Genomic DNA, 19,888 nt, shown 5'->3' on the forward strand with positions numbered 1-19,888 from the left:
GCTGCCCAAAGACACGAGACTTTAACAAGCTTGAACTTAGAAAAGAAAGCTCGTCTGAAAGAGGAAGCAGCTATGAAGGCCAAAACAGAGTAGCAGAGGTATCCGTGTTGGCTGGATTTTGAAAATCCAGGAATTATGTTATAACGTGCCTGTATTAAAAAGGATGTGGTATGAGGATCCATTTCATAAAGTATGATTTGCCCAAACCTGTACCATTTCCGTATTTCTGCTGTAGAAGTAGAAATAAATTTTCTTAAATAATGACTGTGTTTTATTGTTTTGATCCAAGTCAAGTGTAGCCTCTCAGCCTTTTGGAGAAAAATGAAACAATTTATTTCAACTTGAATACCAACTCTTCAGAGAAGCAGGTACCATATCTTACTTCTCTTCCCATTATCAAAGTAACCTCTCCACAGGCGAACTCATTTTGAGGAGATAAGGAAGGCCAGTTGAGTATATGGCCCAGGTGCAGCTTGGAGGGCCAGCCTTCTCAAATGTCCTGGTGTACTGGTGGGGAGGCTGCCCCCTAATAGAGCGAGCGCTGAGAAGCAGCCAGACCACATTCTATAATCTTTGAACATGCTGGCAGATGGAGGCTTTTAGGAGAATAGTTTTTTAAACATTCTGACAAGGTCCAGCCAGGAATTTCTAAGGACTTAGAAATCCCAGCGTCATGGAGTTGCTTGGGGTCAACACAAGTCACCTCTTAGCTTCATGCCTTAGAATTCTCAACTGGCTGTTTTCTTACCACCTGAGAAACTAAATTTCTCAATTATAAAAATCTCATGTATTATTACTGTTAGAAGTATTTGCACCTCATATATATCTCATTTACAGTTTGACCTTGGGATATCGAGTTGTCTCATATTTAGGTATGAATACAGGTTTCTATTTTAAACATTGATTCTCACATGCTTCTTAATTATTCATGGATGACAAGCCATTATAGTAGTCCCTTCTTATCCACGGCTTTGTTTTCTGTGGTTTCAGTTACCTGAGGTCTGAAAATATTAAATGGAAAATTCCTATAACAATGCATAAGTTATAGATTACATACCATTCAGTGTAGCATGATGAAATCTCTTGCCAATCTGTTCCATCCACCTGGGATGTGAATCATCCCTCTCTCTGGTGTATTCACACTGTATGTGCTAGCCGTCTCTGTTACGAGATCAGCTGTCGTGGAATCAGTGCTAGTGTTCAGGTAACTCTTATTTAATAATTGCCTCAAAGTGCATTGTGCTGTGCCTAATTTATAAAATAAACGGTATCATAGGTATGTATGTATACGAAAAACATAGTATATGCAGGGTTGGGTACTATCCACAGTTTCAGGCATCTACTGGGGGGTCTTGGAATATATCCCCAGAGGGTAAGGGGTGACTACTGTATACAGCCATGCCAACATGCTGGTTCTCAGAGAGTTATAAGAGAGATTAAAAATACATGCAGCTGTTTGGGCACTTTCTTCCCAAATAAAATACCCAGTAAAATGTAACATACTACCTATAGCTTGATAATCTATCTGAGGATGTTTATGATGTCTGTCTATATACTTTAATTTGGCCTTAGCTTCTTTGTAGGTATCAAGTTATCACTTGCAAATTTATTTTCAAAAAGCATAGTTTCTTGTACATTTTAGAAGATTAGTTTTTCTTATTTTGGGACACCTACACCAATGTTTTAAATGTGGATAAATTTTAATGTGGAATTTCTTTTAAAAATAATCCTCTTCATAGAGCAATACAACAAAAATGTGTTGTATCTTGGAGATTTACATTATAAATGTAGTAACATTTATGAGCTTAAATTTAATGAAACCTTTTTTTTTTTTTTGAGACAGTCTTGCACTGTCGCCCAGGCTAGAGTGCAGGGCATGATCTCAGCTCACTGCAACCTCCGTCTCCCGGGTTCAAGCAATTCTCGTGCCTCAGCCTCCTCAGTAACTGGCATTATAGGTGTGCACCACCACACCTGGCTAATTTTTGTATTTTTCATAAAGACGGGGGTTTCACCATGTTGGCCAGGCTGGTCTCAAACTCCTGACCTCAGGTGATCAGCCTCCCTCGGCCTCCCAAAGTGCTGGGATTACAGGCATGAGCCATGGTGCCTGGCCAAACGTTTTTATTACAAATATTACATTAAACTAAAGCTCACAACTGTTATTATGCATCAGGAATTAACAGTCATTTCTCATTTGTGTTATTCTCCTATTTGATAACATATAGTGACTATCTCTTTATGGGTTAAATATCAGTTTCTTGGCCAGAATTCAAGATCTGCCCCTAACTAATCCTACTTCTCCCAGTACCCTTACAGCACTCCTACCCTACTAGTAACTCTGATATCTCATAGTCCTCAGATTTATCAAGCAAACGAAACTGAATGAGCACTACTATAAGGTACCACAAACTACAAAAGGAGACAGTTTTGCCCTTGTTGCTTTCAGTTAAATTATTGTGCTATTTTTTGCTTAATTTCTAGGTTTTTTTTGCGTGTTTATCATGTCTCCGTAGGTAAAGTGGGCAGAAATCTTTTTCTACTTTACATTTCCTGTAAGTGCTGTTTGTTTGAATAAAGTTAATGTGTGAGGTTACGGTTACTTTTTATTTTTAATCAACATGATAGTTTTGGGAATTTATTACTAAAATTTATCAAAGCAGGCAAGGAATGAAGTTGTATCCTTCACTGTCAAACATTACTTGAGTCCCTTTACTACACAAAAAAGCCAAAGAATACAAGAATACAGAGACATACTTCCTGATTCCACAGAACTCATAATCTGGAAGCACAGCCCATGAAAGCATTTCAGTACAAACTGGTAAATAATAGGGACAGGAAAACCTAACTAACTCAGCTGTCAGCTGTGGTTGCAGGCAGGCCGGCAGTGGATGGTTCCTTCAGTGATTTCTGAACTGAGTTTGAAGCATGGGCAGGAATTAGTAGGTCAGACACAGAACAAAAGAAGAGCAGTCTTCATCAGACATTTAGCTTGCCTGAAAATCACAAGCACAATCTAAAAAGGTAGTGAAAGGTCCTTGAGAAACACCATTTATAATGTTGTTTTGGTTTTTGAAATTTTTAGACTCTTAGAATGAACCTAACCTTGGCGTATTTTTCCGGTTTTTTTCTATGGACCATTTCATATCCCATCACACAGAATATTACCAAAAGTGTGCAGGTAGCATCTGCCATGTCTCTCCAGTCCTCCACCAGCATCCCAGGCTTATGCACTTGTTCATCTGATCTCCCAAACCAGAAACCCTGGAATTATTTCAAATTCCCTTGCTCCCCTCTTTTAATCAATCATCCTGTCCTGTCAACTTTACTTCTAAATATTTCTCAAATACACTGATCCTCTAGGATAGTCACTGAGAGGAATGAGAAATTGTCCAGTGACAGACAAATGAAATTATTAATAGGCCTCAAGATTAGAAGTCAGTTTTCAAAGAAGACATACAAGTGGCCAACAAACACACACAAAAAAATGCTCAACATCACTAATCATCAGAGGAATACAAAATATAACCACAATGAGATACTCTCTTAAACCAGTTAGAATGGCTATTATTAAAAAGTCAAAAAATGGCTGGGTACAGTGGCTCATGCCTGTAATCCCAGCACTTTGGGAGGCCGAGGCAGGTGGATCACTTGAGGCCAGGAGTTCAAGACCAGCCTCGAACATGGTGAAACCCTGTCTCTACTAAAAATAGAAACATTAGCCAGGCATGGTGGCACGCCTGTAATCCTAGCTACCTGGGATGTTGAGACATGAGAACTGCTTGAACCCGGGAGGCAGAGGTTGCAGTGAGCCAAGATTGTGCCACTGCACTCCAGCCTGGGCACCAGAGACTCTGTCTCAAAAAGAATCATGGCAAAGATGCAGAGTAAAGGCACAGCTTATACACTGTGGGGAGGAATGTACATTTTACAACCTCTGGAAAACAGTATGGAGATTTTCCAACTAAAAACTACCATTCGATCCAGCAATCCCACTAGTAGGTATCTACCCAAAGGAAATTATATTTTAAAATCACCTGCACTGTTTATCGCAGCACTATTCATAATAGTGCTGTTTATCGCAGCACTATTCGTAATAGCAAAGTTATGGAACCAACCTAAGGGTCCATCAAGAGATGACTGGATAAAGAAAATGTGGTGTATATACTTATATACATATCCAGATGACTGGATAATGTGGTGTATATACTTATATACATACACATACACATATATGCATACACACACACACATACACACCACAGAATACTACTCAGCCAAAAAAAAATAATGAAATCTTATCTTTTGCAACAACATGGATGGACCTGGAGGCCATTAAGTGAAGTAATGATACAGAAAGTCAAAAACCACATGTTCTCGTAAGTGGGAGATAAACAATGTGTACACCTGGACGTGGAGAGCAGAATCATAGACACTAGAGCCTTCAAAGGTGGGAGTGGGGTGAGAGATGGGAAAGTATTTACTAGGTACAATGTATACTATTTGGGTGAGGGTATACTAAGCCCAGATTTCACCACTATGCAATATATCCCTGTAATAAAAGTGACATAAATCCATAAAAATTACAAAAAGTTGCTCAAAAAAGATTGGTAGTCAGAAGCTGAATTCTAGATGTGCTTTTTCAACTATCTCATTTTGTAAATGTAGTGTATGAATCTCAAAATTTAACAATAGACAATTTTTAAAATACCAAACTGCCAAAATTAAAAGAAACCGTCTTTTTAAATATCCAAGTTTTTTGGCCAACTTGGCTCTACTACTTGATTTTCAAAGGGATTAGTGGTTACTCATCCACAGTTTAATTGTTTTGTCATTTTCTAATGCTGCTGATGCGATGAGGTTTTCTGTAGGATGACAAGCTGCTGAGATCACAACATCTGTATGGCCTTGTAATTTCTGCACAATCTCTTTAGTCTGAAGGTTCCAAATGTAAACCAGGTTATCCTCGGAACCAGACACAATCCACTTTCCACCAGTAACTGAAAAATTGGCAAATATGCAATATTTCTCATTCTTATGACCAGTGTATGTTTTCAGGCACCTGCCTCTGCTATAATCCCATAGTTTAAGAGTGTTGTCCAAAGTTGCAGTGAGAATGTATTTACCATTTGGAGAAAATTTTACAAAAGAGACAGGAGGGTTATCGTCATCAACGAGCGTTTTTAAACACTGACCTGATGCAGCATCCCAGATTCTACAGAGGCCATCATAGCTACCTGACACTATCAAGGACCCACTACAATTAAAATGAACAGCAGAAACTGGGTCAGAATGAGCAGACAAAGTCTTGAGACACTTTCCTGTTTTCACCTCCCATATTTTTACAGTCTCATCAAAAGATCCCGAGATTATAAGGTTGGATGGCGGATTGAAGTTACAACAAAAGACATAATTACTGTGCCCCTTCAGTGTTTTCAAACATTTTCCAGATCTCACATCCCATAATTTTAGAGTTTTATCATCTGAGGCAGAAACAAGACGACTGGAATCTGATGACCAGGCAACATCCGATATTTCCAAATTATGACCATAGAGTGTTTTCTCATATTTTCCATCATATGCTCCCCAAATTATGATTAGCCTATCAGCAGAAGAACTTGCTAGCCATTCTCCATTAGGACTAAACTTAACTGATGACACTGCTTCCGTGTGTCCCACAAGAGTACATTTGAGAGCATAGTTTGGGTTTTCAGGCACTTCCTTGCTCTGATTGGCCGATGAGGAGAGGGCCAACTGTGCTTTGGCGTCTCTTGACTCCTTGGTTGCCATGGCTCTGAAGCTCCAAGTTAGCAGGTGTACTAGGCGTTCAGCCCTGAACCAGGCAGTCCAGTACTTTGGCTTTCTGCCCAGCAAAATGAAGATAAACGCACAGGATTTTAAAATGTACAGTTTTGAAAGCTTAAAGTTTCTGGACAGTCTTTAAACTGTGAGACGGAATCAGCAGCACGGCTTGGACTTCAAGTTTTCATCTTTTTGTTAAGTACTTGAGAAATACTGTTAGAAGGATCCTGTGCGCTGTCAGCAAGTAGGACACAAATGTTCGGCATTCCGTTAATACATAAAGCCTTCAAAGCAGGGGCGACGCGAGGGGCACTCTCTACAGAAAGTATTCTTTCACCGCCGCCCCCCTCCCCAGGTCGAAATGTTTCGGAATGCTGAGCAGCCCTACCAGTCAGGCTAGGTACTTGAAGATGAATGAACCGCCGCTTTTAGCGGATTTCAGAAGCTAAAAGCCTACGAAGCCACCGAAACTGGAAACTCTGGCCTGTCGGCTACTTTTGCTCGTACCAGCAGGTGTGCACTGCCGCGTCAATCTCCAACAAAGCCGGAAAAGCAGCCTGGCGCATGTGCAAAGGAAGTCCCTCCTACCACTACCGAGCCGAGATGACCAATGGGAGACGGCCATCTGCGCCTGCGCAAAAAAGTCGCCAATGTTCATTTCCGGTCTTTTTCGCCCCGCCCTTCAAATGCGAAAGCGACTGCCTTCTTGGGTGAGTGCATTAGCTGGGTAGGGTCTGTCCCGGACCTAACTGGATAGTGTGGGAAGCAGTGGATCGTTGTTTCAAAAACCATTTCTTTTTGGAAATTGTCACAGAGAAGGACTAGATTTGCGGATGCCTACCTTAGCTGCAGGCTTAGGCCCACACCTGACGCGTAAGCTGCCTAAACGGCAGCTAACGTAGATCCACCCAGACGCCGGAAACGGGGGAAGCTCCTGCTTTGCATGGGTTCCGCTCCCTCCTGTTTGTTGTGGTGTGGAGCCAGGTGGCATGTGTGGCGATGGAGTCACGGGGCGGGTGACAGAATTTATGCCAGATTGTAAAATTCCTGGTTTAAGTTTCCCCTGGAAAAGTTTCGTAAAGGTTAAGAAACGTGTCTGTTGAGGTCCTTTAAAAGCCGGTGCTCTGCTGGGAGTAACGAGCAAACGTTTGTTTTAGCATCTACGGCTTAAGCTTCCATAGAGAAGTCGGTATCTCAAAGTTGCTTGAAACAGAAAAGGACAAAGAGGTTGGTGGAATAGGGTAACGGATAAGGTTACTCTTAAGGAGGTTTTAGAGAGCTTTCCCCAGTTTTAGGAGATGATTAATGGTCATGAAAGTGTGTAAAATATACATGCTATTGAAGTTGCAACGAAAGACATAATTACTGTGCCCCTTTAGTGTTTTCAAACATTTTCCAGATCTCACATCCTATAATTTTAGAGTTTTATCATCTGAGGCAGAAACAAGACGACTGGAATCTGATGACCAGGCAGACTTTTAAACAATAGGTTTACCAAAAAACTGGAAGCCCTACTAGTTTCTCCAACCTGTTGTTGCTCAGTAAAGAGTGCCCGAGGCCGAGCACTCACGCCTGTAATCCCAGCACTTTGGGAGGCCCAGTCGGGCGGGACACTTTAGGTCGGGTGTCCGAGACCAGCCTGACCAACATGGCGCAACCAATACTGCTAAAAATACAAAAATTAGCTGCGCGTGATGGCGCACGCCTGTAGTCCCAGCTACTCAGGAGGCTGAGGTGGGAGAATGGCATGAACCAGGAGGTGGAGGGTGCAGTAAGCTGAGATTCCACCAGTGCACTCCAGCCTGGGCAACAGTGAGACTCCGTCTCAAAAAAAAAAAAAAAAAGAGTGCCCAAGAAAAGCAGAAAAAACGTGGCTTAAAAGATTTTACTGGTGGCTGGTCACGATGCAAATGTCTCATCAGCGTCAAGAATTTAAAAGCACTTGGAAACAATGGGTATCCTATTGTATACTTATTAGGGATAATTGAAAGTCTTGGCCTTTATAAGGCACAACAGGCACCGTTAGGTCACCTGTAATAAACCGACTGTAGTTAAAATATCATTACTTTAAGACCCTACCAGTCTAGGGGGAAATTTAAATAAGAATTGGACAAATACTTTAGTCTTAGCTAGTGCATATTAACTGTATAAACACAGTGAGGTAGTCCTGAGAATGAAGACTCTAAAATGGTTTAGAGTATTTATTTCTATACATTAAATTACAACGGTTTTTAGCTATTAAGGTCTCCATGGACCTCCCCTTGTTAACACTTTTAGAAATTTTTTTTCCTTCAGCATATCTTAAAGTTCAGTTCTAACTAAACCCTGCTGCTGCTTTTCTCTTCCCATTAGCCTGGATTAGTGATTTTTGCTGAGAAGTTTAGAAACTGCACCAATTGAAAACTATTTCCATTTTTATTAACTCAATAAAAGGTAACGTAAAAGCCCCTTGGAGCACAGGAGCAGAATTTAATCATTGTTTCAAATAATTTAAATCTGCATTTTCCAGTAACTGTTGTATGCACTAGAAGAGTAAAATTTAAGAATCGTGAACACTTGACATGAAGGCTAGGATAGGGTATTAGTGCTGGAATATATTTAGCCCACCACAGCTATCACAAGCAAGAGAGAGGGGGGGACACAATAAAGGATGTGTTGATAGGAAGATCCGGAAGTTATTTTTCTTCAGATTTTCCTAAAATCTGAAGAAATTCCTATTAACAAAATCCATTTCTTGATGTCTGGGATTTGTTTACAAATAGCATTAGGAACATATGCAAACAAAATCAAGGCTATGAATATAACTAGTTTTTTTTTTTTTTGAGACAGAGTTTCGCTCTTGTTGCCCAGGCTGGAGTGCAGTGGCGCGATCTCAGCTCACTGCAATCTCCATCTCCCTGGTTCAAGCGATTCTCCTGCCTCAGCCTCCCGGGTAACTGGGATTACAGGCATGCGCCACCATGCCCGGCTAATTTTGTATTTTTAGTAGAGTCAGGGTTTCTCCATGTTGGCCAGGCTGGTCTTGAACTCCCGACCTCAGGTGATCCGCCCGCCTCGGCCTCCCAAAGTGCTGGGATTACAAGCGTGAGCCACCGCGCCTGGCGAATATAACTAGTTATGTTCTATTGTTTATTCATTCATGTTCTGATATTAACATGTAGTCCTAACATTGTAGTCCTTAGGAAATTAGAACTAAGATTTTCAGTTTACTTGCTTGGGAGGATCAGCGACATTTCGGTGCAGGAGCACGGAATACTGATACAGGTAAATCCGAAGTGGCAGAACAGAGATTTGCATTTTGGGTTCCTTATTTATTCATTTATGAGACGGAGTTTTGCTGAATACTGATACATGTAGGTAAATCCAAAGTGGCAGAATAAGAGATACGCATTTTGGGTTTCTTATTTACTTATTAATTTATTTATGAGACGGAGTTTTGCCCTTGTCGCCCAGGCTGGAGTGCAGTGGTGCCATCTCAGTTCACTGCAGCGTTGCCAGGGCTCAGGCGATCCTCCCACCTCAGCCTCCCACAGGCACCCGCCACCATGCCCGGCTACTTTTTAAAATACCTTGTTGGCTGGGCACTATGGCTCACGCCTGTAATCCCAGCACTTTGCGAGGCCGAGGCGGGTGGATCACCTGAGGTCAGGAGTTCTAGACCAGCCTGGCCAACATGGTGAAGCCCCTTCTCAACTAAAAATACAAAAATTAGCCGGGCGTGGTGGCAGGCGCCTGTAATCCCAGCTACTCAGGGGGCTGAGGCAGGAGAATCGCTTGAACCCAGGAGGCGGAGGTTGCAGTGAGCCGAGATTGTGCCATCACACTCTAGCCTGAGGGACAAGAGCGAGACTTCATCTCAAAAAAAAAAAAAACAACAACAACCCTTTGTAGAGACAGAGTTTCACTACATTGCCCGGGTTGACCAAGCAAAATTTCTTACATGGTCTCATTAACAGTTTCTATTTCTGCTGCCCTTAATCTTTACCATCTAAGTGCTTTGGAAGTTTCCTCCCTACAGAAATCAACTAGATTTCTTTAAATTTCCCAGACATCTTAGAAATGAAGGCCGGGCGCGGTGGCTCACGCCTGTAATCCCAGCACTTTGGGAGGCCGAGGCGGGTGGATCATGAGGTCAAGAGATCGAGACCATCCTGGCTAACAAGGTGAAACCCCGTCTCTACTAAAAATACAAAAAATTAGCCGGGCGCGGTGGCGGGCGCCTGTAGTCCCAGCTACTCGGGAGGCTGAGGCAGGAGAATGGCGTGAACCCGGGAAGCGGAGCTTGCAGTGAGCCGAGATTGCGCCACTGCAGTCCGCAGTCCGGCCTGGGCGACAGAGCGAGACTCCGTCTCAAAAAAAAAAAAAAAAAAAAAAAAAAAAAAGAAATGAAAGTCTCTTATCTTAATATAGTTTAAAGGTGTGTTTCCCTTGCCCCTCAGTATTGTAAATATCTAAACAGATGTGTTGCCACAAATGGGGCAATTTTTAAATTTAAAAACAATTTTTTTTTTGTATGTGTGCTGGACCAAACCGTGGCATGGGAGTGATTCCCACATTAAGGAATGTCTCAACATCCTTCATAGCAATTCTTGACTACCAAATCCAGTCTCAATATCAAGCATTAATAGAACTATGTATACCTAGTTGCTTAAGACCATTAGCCAATGTATGAAAATCTAGTTGGGCTTTATAAATATGGAGTGGCCACGTAACATTATCTAAACTGGGACATTTTTAAAAGTGAAAGGGGGCAGTAAAATAATTCACAGGTGTTAGCTGATCTCCAAATGTAAACTGGGGCTGTGCCCAGCAGACACTACTTTTGACTTCCCAAGAGGACACTCCTCATAATCGTAACTTAATCTTGCAACCATTTCACACTCTGGTAGTTTACACCTCAGCCTGCGCAGGTCTCTCCCAAACCTGGTACTGTTCTCTCACCACCCATTACGGTCTTTTGCGTTTCTGTTTTCTCCTTACCCATCACTGTATCTTAATAATGCCCAGCCCAAGTGATGGGTAAAGCAGTGATCCTTATTGAGGACTCCCAGCGGACTACATTGGCCTTCTGCAGGTTAAGTGGATATGAATAAGAATGAGTAATTTTACTTTCTGCAAAAAAACACAGAAATGACTGTATATTAATTTAAAATTAGAGAAAACAATGACTCCTTCAAAATGCAAGTGAAATGGGGCAACAATCATTCAAGCTATCTTTAATAAACTTGTAAACCCAGTGATTTTTTTTTTTTTTTTTTTTTTTTTTTTTGAGATGGAGTCTTGCTCTGTCAGCCAGGTTGGAGTGCAGTGGTGCAATCTTGGCTCACTGCAACCTCCACCTCCCGGATTCAAGCGATTCTCCTGCCTCGACTTCTTGAGTAGCTGGGATTGCAAGCTTGTGGTACGATGGCTGGCTAATTTTTTTTTTTTTTTTTTTTTTTTTAGTAGACAGGGTGTCGCCATGTTTGCCAGGCTGGCCTCGAACTCCTGACCTCAAGTGATTTGCCTGCCTTGGCTTCCCAAAGTGCTGGGATTACAGGCATGAGCCACCACGTCTGGACATAAACCCAGTAATTTTGTACGATTTATAAAACAATGTAGTCTGCAGGAACTAAGGCTATGTTTTGCCTCAAATGTTCTTTGTTTTCAGAATAAAATACTTGGTCAGTGGAATCTCTTCAACAAAATAGAAGAGAAGCAGTCATGGAGTGAAGAAATAAATCATCTTTGTTTCTACTCATCTGTCACTTATGCAATACATACAATATGTAAAAAGGAAAAATCCCTGTGTAATAGCCTAAGGCAACCAGCAGCTTCCACGTCGGTTGGATATTAATAAATTTTTTTCTTTACTGTAAAATATACCCATCAGCTTTTTTTTTTTTTTTTTTTTTTGAGATGGAGTCTTGCACTGTCACCCAGGCTGGAGTGCAGTGGCGCAATCTCCACCCACTGCAAGCTCTGCCTCCTGGGTTCACACCATTCTCCTGCCTCAGCCTCCCAAGTAGCTGGGACTACAGGCGCCCGCCACCACACCCGGCTAGTTTTTTGTACTTTTAGTAGAGACGAGGTTTCACCATATTAGCCAGGATGGTCTCGATCTCCTGACCTCGTGATCCACCTGCCTCGGCCTCCCAAAGTGCTGGGATTACAGGCATGAGCCACCGCACCCGGCCACTAGCTTTTCTAAGACACTTTGTTTGTTTTTAAATACCAGACCTCTGCTATGACAATGTTTGATTTTGTAAACTTCAGGTCAAATCATGTCTTCTGAAAAGTAACTGCATATAAAACACGTTGAGACATTTGCTTAAGATGTTGATCCTGGTTTCAAGTAACAGCATAAGGGAATTCCTTTGAATTTTCTTTTATCAAGCACCCTTTACTAACATCACAAAGATGCATGCATATTCCTTCATTTAGTATTTATTGAATGTCTACTATGTGCAAGGCACTCACCCATGGCCTGACAGACCACATTCAAGTACAAAGAATCATTAGAGCCATTCCAAATCTAAGTGTCAGAACACTTTGAAGCAGGATGTAGAGTGGTCAGAATGACTTGAGGTAAAGCAGAAACACTCAACAACCAGTACATTAAAAGGTGATTTTAATTTTTGACATTCCTTGGGATGATATTCCTTTAGGAAGAAGTAGACTGTGTTAAATTCGCATCCATGGCACTGCTTCCTGAGGCAGTAATTCTTCAAAGCCTTTCCTTCCGTGTCAATACTTTCCACATTTGTGCGTTTGAATGGATCCATGTGTTTAGCCATTATTTTACTAAACACAAAATCATTTGCACAAAAAAAAAAAAAAAAAAAACCTATTACCATACTTGTCTGGTCATACAGAATTTTAGCACCACAGAAGAGGAAAGATGTTTGGCCTGAGAGGGCCTACACTCCAGTCTGTGTAACCTAAAAGCAACTTAAGCCTGATTTCGTCATTTTAAGGGTGCTGATGGTAAGCAGGAGTCAGGAAGAATGGTCTAACAAAAAAGGCTGGCCCAGCTGTGGTTGCCAAGTCTAGTTCTGGGAGATCCTGGGCACGGAACTACTGCGTGGCCACTGCTTTCTTCAAGACACAGAATTTGCAGGGCTCTTCCCCGCCCTTGGACAGCCATCTAAGTGTTGTAACCTTGGGGCAAAGTAATTTCTCGTAAGTCTTCACTTTGTCATCTATAATATAGTGACAATTATCAAAGAACATTTGGAAGACTACATGAGAAAAAAGGAAAGCCCTTAGCCAGGTATCTGGTGTACAATAGATGATCAAATAAAGACATGTTACCTTAATTTGACCTACAGGGAAAACACTCTGGGACTTCGTTTACCCTTAGTTGAAAACAGAACGGAACACTTCTTTTCTTTCTTCTTACCCCAAGCTTCCAGATGTATTTTATGTCCAGTAGCAATTTGATATTTTAAATTAGCATATAAATATTTGCTTTATCAGATATTCTGATGTCCTGGTATCCATTGTTATAACCTGTATATAACCTGTAATCCTGAACTGCTGGGATTACAGGCATGAGCCACCACATCCGGCCATAAACCCAGTAATTTTGTATGGCAGATAAAACATTTTATGGAATATTCTTTATGATAGCCAACTTACTGTAGTAGTCACATCTGACCTTTGATAATTTTTTTAAATTAAGTTCTGATGACAGGAAAAGATAGACCAAAATATTTCCCAACCTGGCAGATATATACTTAATCTGTTCAGCTCACAACAGAGAGAAATGGTCATATTGAGATGGATAAAAATTCAGATTTGAGACTTCCATGTATATAGGCATACCTGTGTCTGCAAATGAGCACATTTTGGAACGTAGGAGTTAGCATACAGTATGAAAGTTGAAAGCAAACAATGCTGGTTTCTAAAAGTGGATCCCTTTTCTTCACTGAACATCATCCTTAGACACCACAATTTCCAATATACTTAAAAACCATCAACCCCTAAAAAGTTATAATGATTTGCCTATTGATATAAAAATTTTCACAAAACTAGCGAGAAAGAAAAACCCCTTGACTCCAGGAAAACCTTTTCATAATGCATCCCCCAAGTTGGGGGATTAAATCGCTGAAATGTTTATTTAGCACTAGAGAAGTAAATTCAAAGTTGCCTGTGGGTAGACGTACAATAGAATTGGTTGACAAAGTTTGGTTTATAAAATATACTTACATATTGTTTCTTAGGCAAAAATCGGCAGCAATCTGGAATAATTCAGATTTTTTATGAGATTAATTGCCAATCTTTTTATCTGTGACGATAATGCCAAAAATGACTCAGAGCCAATAACCTTCATCTGTCATATGGAAGAAACAATCCTAGGGCAATAGTTTTTTCAAAAGCGGAACTGACAAAGATAAGCGTTTAAAAGGGTCTTGATCAATTAGTTACAGGAACATGAAAGAAAGTGTTCCACAGAGAACTGTGTCTCCTAAAATCTCTTTCTTCTATCATCTACCTTACCCAAAATTTCTCAATCCAACCACATCTACCTGCTGGTCCATCAGATACCAGATGCCTTTACATCCAAAATTCTCTTAATGCTTTTTTTCCCCCACCAAAGTTCTCATTACAAATAATATAGATTGGAAGTTTGGAGGATGGAGGGGAATAAAAAGGAAAAGTAAAACAAAGTCACTTTCCCCAATCCATATATAAAACTACAAAAGAGTTTTCCTGTATTGAAATTAACATGCTTTTGTAATGAGCAACGCCTTAGTGGTAGGGTATTCAGTGAATTTAAACTAAGTTAACAGAATCTGAGAGGCAAAGAACTAAAAACAGGATATACAGTTACCCCTTAAAATGTCATTTCTGTTACCAAAAAGCCTGCTTCAGTACCAAGTTCCAACATATCTGAGTTATGCTACTTCACTTTTAGCCAATTCCAACTTTGATACTTTAAGAAAAAATCATTTTATTGTTAAAAAAGAAAAAAAAACTTAGATCTTATAGTTCATGAACTTCTAGGACAAGATAAATTCCTCTGTTTTAGACACAAAATAGATCACGTCAGTTAAATAGACTTTGTTTTAATTCACTCACTGAAACATCTCCAACTACTAGCAAAAATTCCGAATGTCTGAATGCACACTACTCTTCCTAATGTGGGGAGACAACTGTGTGCTTTGTATCTTTCCCACTCAAATTGGCTTATAAAATGAAATTATTTTAACTATCCAATGGAAGGTACATAATTTAAAACATCCTATAGAAATGACATGTTACTAGTAATTTACAATTTTAAAAAACAGCCACAAAAAAGTCAAAGCTAAAAACAAGATTTTTACTATGAATCAGTGCTTCTATTATCCTTCTGAAAGAAGTTATATTTTAATGTGATGTAAAGGCAACATTGAAATTTCTTCTTTAAATTAACCACCTAATTTATCCCTAAAATTACAAAGAATCAGTCTTTTACAGGTCAAGTGCAGTAAACTAAAATGTTCTCTCAGCACAAAGCAGCACTAGAAAAAGTAACAGTTATAGATGGGAGTTGACTAGTTTTGCAGTGGCTGCGCCATCAATAACAAACAGACATCAGACGGTATCCATCCCAGAGCACAGACACTACTACAGACTAGATGCGAAGAATGCGTCACACTCTTGGCTGATAAATGTCCTTTGTCTTTGACTCTTTCTAGTTTGAATGAAGTGGATTTTTTAAAAGTTTAAATCAGGTCACATAAGTTGGCTGCTTAAATAACATCATGATGAGGTATGAAAAGCTCTGAATATCCCTTACATTCAGCAGGATTTACCAGAGATGTATAATAGCTTGTCAGGGGCAACTTCCAAATAGTTTTTACACTTTGGGGTTATAATGAATTCTAGAAGAGGACAAGTCTAAAAAGGTTTAAAAGGGTATGCTCTGAAACAGAGGTGAGCAACCTTTTCCTTCAGAATTCACTTTGAACAGCACATCAACAAAAAAATCTTCTCTGGTAGTGTATCCCAACATTGAGTCAAGATGGCCAACTAGCACCGAGAAGTCGTATTGAACTCATTTGCAGTTGTCTTGGCAATTAAGCGTATTTTTTCATTCCAGTCCAAGCACAAATGTGGATCACTGAACACAGTACTGGAAGCGCCATTTGCAGGTACAGATTGCAGTCATCATTAAATGAGCCAGAAGGCAGATACTGTTTTTATTTTGTGTGGGGGGAGGGGGAAGCGGCACAGTACTAGCAGGAGATGAAATAAAATGATTAGGAAACAATGAGGTTATAAGATCACTGTTCTTATTTGGGTTAAGCAGGTCATGTTGAGAAGATGGTTATTTCTTTCAGATAAGGATGCTACATTAAAGGAATCGTGTGCAGCATGAAAAGATTAGAATCGAGCTGCACCTAAGAAAAAAATCCCAAAGTTACTTTCAAAAGTATGTGTTATCTGCCAGTCACAGAGGGGAAAAGCACCTAGGGTGAACTCCAATTTTTTAATGAGGACCTTGATCAGGACCACAAAGCCTGAAACATTTATTTTAATGCAGAAACACAGCCCCTAGTTACACTGATTGCATTTGGGAAAATTGGAGGGTTTTTTCGTCCTTAGTTTTTTTTATTAAATTACAGGATATGGTTTTCGATTACTAAGTATTCGAAATCCTCATACCAGCAACAGAAATGAACCACTTCCAAATTCTAAGACACAAAAGACCAAAGAGAAGCAAAAGCGATACAAATTAATATGTGCCCCTCTCCTTTCTGCTCTAAGGGAATCTACAAACCAGTATCACATTTAGGAGTCAAAGTGTTAATTCTTCAGCATTCCTGACAACTAGAAAGCACATTCACTGAAGGCTGAAGGTGAGGGAGTGGATGGTTTAACTTTAATATCTGAAGAATGGCGCCAATAGAGGAAAGAAAACCATCCAATCTCAGTAAGGATTAATGCAAATCTGGCTAGAAAAAGCCACCAGGTAATCCAAGGGTTCACTGTGGAAGAACTCATGAAAAGTACTCTGAAGTATACACAACAGGTCTAAACATCTCCCTTGTCGTAAGTAGTTGTGTAAAATTCAAGATAAAGATTTAGTCTCATCTTTTAATGTCAGTTTTTTCCCCCATGTTAAAGGGAATGAGGAGGAGTCCTCTTTTATTCCCCCACAAGAAAAAGGGAGCCACATTAATATGTGTATATTCCCATAACTCTAATGTAAGTGCGGATCTCCAAAGCCTAGGGATTTTTCCGTAAAAGAGAGTGGGCCGTTCTGGTTACCCTTTTATTAGAAGGGTATTCCACCACAGAGAGCCGGAGGTTTTCCAGATGTGTGTAAGAGAGCAGGTGCGCAAGGCAAGCAAATGAGCGCAAACAGTATTATGGAAAACATTTGAGAAGTTAGCTCCATGAGGACTGTGGGCTCCACAAGAGGACTCGACTGGGTAGCCTGGTCTGACACAGGTACGTGAAAGCAGAGTATTGCTTCAAAGCTGGAAACCTTCCATAGGAGCCTCACACTGTTGGAAGATGTACTGCTGCTGGTTAAGGTCAACCTGGGGTGCAATGCTGCTGTCTTCATCTTCGGTCCCGAAGTAATGCTCAATAAGATCAAAGGCCTTTTGGTAGATCTCCTGGTTTTCATGACTCTGTAAGAACTCAATTTTATCCAGACCTAAAATGAAGAATAAAGGAAAATCTTTATTGAAAACTTCAATAAATATTGGAAATTCCATAACTATATATTCCTAAACTATATTTTGTCATATATCTCTGTTCTTGATGTAAAGAAAGATTATTTGTATCTCATAAGTATTTTATAATAGCACAGAAATGACTGCTGGGATTACATCTGAAAGCTAGTATTATAAACTGACATCTTAAATACATATGCAAGTAATATCCAGTCTGCAGAAGCAGCAATTTCCTAACAGTCCTCTTTTCATCCAGTGCCTAGCAGTAGTAGTATTGTTTTTACTGAACTCTATCTATGACCCAATTCATTCTTGGCCATAAACTTCTTCAACCAAAGCATCTTACCATAAGCTTCTTCAATCAAAGCACAGTAAGGGTTAATGCCAGTGCCATTCCTTTTGGCTTCCTGTTCTCCAAGCCTCAGGATATTTTCCAAGCCATTTAGGGCAACCTGTACAATCTTAGAGTCCATGACCGTGAGGAGATCACAGAGCGGCTTGATACAACCCAGTTCTACTAGGTACCTAAATACAAAGAATAATGTAGTCAAACAAAACTTTTAATTTTGTTAAACTTATGAAATTAGTGAGCAAGTCATCCTCAACTTCACTGCAGAGACTTAAAAAAAAAAACAAAAAACAAGCACTCTTTCAACCATACAAGCTATACCTTTTCACAAAACAAAAACAAAAAACCCTCTAAATAAATTATCCCAAACCAGTTCTCTGGCACCTTTCTCCATTCTTTTCTCTTCACAATTTATGCATTCCAAAAACAGGAATACTTACTTATTAATACCTTGAAATGAGCGACTCATCAAAATAGTATAGGTTTGAGTAATTTCATCTTTGTTTCCATAGATAGCCACACCTCTCAAACATGACACTCTTGGTGCTAAAAGCCAGCACAAGCCTGATAAGCCAAATCTTTCAAAGATGATTAGAATTTTAGTAAAGTAAGTTGTGGGAAGAATAAACAAATGTCAGAGGATTCTAGAACTGGTATTTTTCCTTTAATTCAAGCAGAATGTATAACCGTATGTAATCAAGATTAATCATACTTGAACTTCAGAGACATGATTACTGTATCACATTCACAGTAAATAGTCATGTCATTTTTTATCATTCTGGTTTCTCAAGTTGAGTACAGAGAGGCAGGGATAATGAATCCAGTTGCATTATGTGAATGTTTGGTAAGGTCATTTTGAAACTTACTGCTAGTGCTAATCTATTTCTTTCTCACATATTGCTTTTTTGTGTGGGGGAGGAAGAATTCAAAAATATATAAAAATAAATCTCTAGCCAAACAAGAAAAAAGGAGAAAAGACAAAATTACTAATATCATGAAAGAGAATCATCACTTGATCTCATGGATATTAAAAGGATAATAAAGGAATACTACAAACAACTCTATGCTCACACATTTGATCATTCAGATGATAAAATGAACAATTTCTTGAAAGACACAAACCACCAAAACTCAGTCATGGAGAAATGACTGATGTGAACAGGCTTACATGTATTAAATAAATTGAATCATTAATAACTTCCCAGAATAGAAAACATCAGGATGAGGGTTTCACACTGGTGAATTCTGGCAAACATTTACGGACAAAACGATACTAGTATTCTACCATCTCTTCCAGAAAACAAACAGTGGGGATACTTCTTAACTCAATCTTTGAGGCCAGCACTTCCCCAATACCAAAATTAAATAAAGACATCATAAGAAAGGAAAATTACAGACTAATATGTCTCATGAACATGAATACAAAAATCCTCAACAAAACATTATCAAATCAAATCCAAGAATGTATACAAAGAATTATATACCAAGTGGATTTATTCCAAATATGCCAGGCTGATCCGTCATTTTAAAAAAATGAATCAATGTAATCAACTTACGATCATTTCAACGGATGCAAAAAAGCATTTAACAAAATCTAATACCTATTCATGATAAAAACTCAGCAAACAGGCCAGGCATGGTGGCTCAAGCCTGTAATCCCAACTCTTCGGGAGGCCAACGCGGGTGGATCACCTGAGGTCAGGAGTTCAAGACTAGCCTGGCCCACATGGTGAAACTCCGTTTCTACTAAAAATACAAAAATTAGCCAGACATGGCAGCGGGCACCTGTATTCCCAGCTACTTGGGAGGCTGAGGCAGAATTGCTTGAACACAGGAGGCGGAGGTTGCAGGAGCCGAGACCGTGCCACTGCACTCCAGCCTGGGCGAAAGAGCGAAACTCTGTCTCAAAAAAAAAAAAAAAAAAAAAAAGAATCTCATTTACATCAGCATCAAAAAAGTGTAAATCTAATAAATATGTACAACAGGATATATATGAGGAAAACTACAAAACTGATGATCTAAAAAAAAAAATGGAGAAATATTCCATGCTCATGGACAAGACTCAATATTGTTAAGATGGCAATTC

The 19,888-nt window shown here is 39.8% G+C and overlaps 3 protein-coding genes and 1 long non-coding RNA gene across 7 annotated transcripts in view, besides 6 other annotated features; 2 read left to right on the forward strand and 2 right to left on the reverse strand.

Annotated features, from left to right (window-relative positions):
• Nucleotides 1-2,596, forward strand: part of FAM162A (family with sequence similarity 162 member A) — a 28,153-nt gene extending 25,557 nt beyond the window's left edge. The window contains exon 5 of the mRNA NM_014367.4: nucleotides 1-2,596. Coding sequence (NP_055182.3) covers nucleotides 1-93 — 93 coding nt within the window. The 3' untranslated portion in view covers nucleotides 94-2,596.
• WDR5B (WD repeat domain 5B) lies at nucleotides 2,108-6,324 on the reverse strand. Its single transcript, NM_019069.4, has one exon. The coding sequence runs from the start codon at nucleotides 5,788-5,790 to the stop codon at nucleotides 4,798-4,800; it is 993 nt and encodes a 330-aa protein (NP_061942.2). The 5' UTR covers nucleotides 5,791-6,324; the 3' UTR covers nucleotides 2,108-4,797.
• Nucleotides 5,869-6,068: an enhancer, noted in NCBI's record as "active region_20369". NCBI's record gives its function as "activates an Ori minimal core promoter by ATAC-STARR-seq in GM12878 lymphoblastoid cells {active_cell/tissue: GM12878}" and the evidence as "EXISTENCE:reporter gene assay evidence [ECO:0000049][PMID:35858748]".
• Nucleotides 6,304-7,121: an enhancer, noted in NCBI's record as "H3K27ac-H3K4me1 hESC enhancer chr3:122134889-122135706 (GRCh37/hg19 assembly coordinates)". NCBI's record gives its function as "activates a minimal SCP1, AML or CMV promoter by ChIP-STARR-seq in naive H9 embryonic stem cells {active_cell/tissue: H9 hESC(naive)}" and the evidence as "EXISTENCE:reporter gene assay evidence [ECO:0000049][PMID:30033119]".
• Nucleotides 6,339-6,578: an enhancer, noted in NCBI's record as "active region_20370". NCBI's record gives its function as "activates an Ori minimal core promoter by ATAC-STARR-seq in GM12878 lymphoblastoid cells {active_cell/tissue: GM12878}" and the evidence as "EXISTENCE:reporter gene assay evidence [ECO:0000049][PMID:35858748]".
• WDR5B-DT (WDR5B divergent transcript) overlaps nucleotides 6,468-19,888 on the forward strand; it is a 27,042-nt gene continuing 13,621 nt past the window's right edge. The window contains exon 1 of the long non-coding RNA NR_125405.1: nucleotides 6,468-6,512. This is a non-coding gene — a long non-coding RNA (WDR5B divergent transcript). The remainder of the gene's footprint in view (nucleotides 6,513-19,888) is intronic.
• Nucleotides 6,609-6,658: an enhancer, noted in NCBI's record as "active region_20371". NCBI's record gives its function as "activates an Ori minimal core promoter by ATAC-STARR-seq in GM12878 lymphoblastoid cells {active_cell/tissue: GM12878}" and the evidence as "EXISTENCE:reporter gene assay evidence [ECO:0000049][PMID:35858748]".
• Nucleotides 6,819-7,018: an enhancer, noted in NCBI's record as "active region_20372". NCBI's record gives its function as "activates an Ori minimal core promoter by ATAC-STARR-seq in GM12878 lymphoblastoid cells {active_cell/tissue: GM12878}" and the evidence as "EXISTENCE:reporter gene assay evidence [ECO:0000049][PMID:35858748]".
• Nucleotides 7,122-7,937: an enhancer, noted in NCBI's record as "H3K27ac-H3K4me1 hESC enhancer chr3:122135707-122136522 (GRCh37/hg19 assembly coordinates)". NCBI's record gives its function as "activates a minimal SCP1, AML or CMV promoter by ChIP-STARR-seq in primed H9 embryonic stem cells {active_cell/tissue: H9 hESC(primed)}" and the evidence as "EXISTENCE:reporter gene assay evidence [ECO:0000049][PMID:30033119]".
• Nucleotides 12,164-19,888, reverse strand: part of KPNA1 (karyopherin subunit alpha 1) — a 93,038-nt gene continuing 85,313 nt past the window's right edge. For all 4 annotated transcript variants that reach the window (NR_026698.2, XM_005247437.5, XM_024453514.2 and 1 more), the window contains 2 exons: nucleotides 17,800-17,978; nucleotides 12,164-17,434 (listed from right to left, as the gene is read on the reverse strand). Coding sequence is in view for 3 of the 4 variants with exons in the window: in XM_005247437.5 (XP_005247494.1) it covers nucleotides 17,247-17,434; nucleotides 17,800-17,978 (367 nt within the window). In the remaining variant the exon portion in view is untranslated. The remainder of the gene's footprint in view (nucleotides 17,435-17,799; nucleotides 17,979-19,888) is intronic.

Source organism: Homo sapiens, chromosome 3 (genome assembly GCF_000001405.40).
Source record: "Homo sapiens chromosome 3, GRCh38.p14 Primary Assembly".
In the NCBI taxonomy this organism is placed as follows: Eukaryota; Metazoa; Chordata; class Mammalia; order Primates; family Hominidae; genus Homo; species Homo sapiens.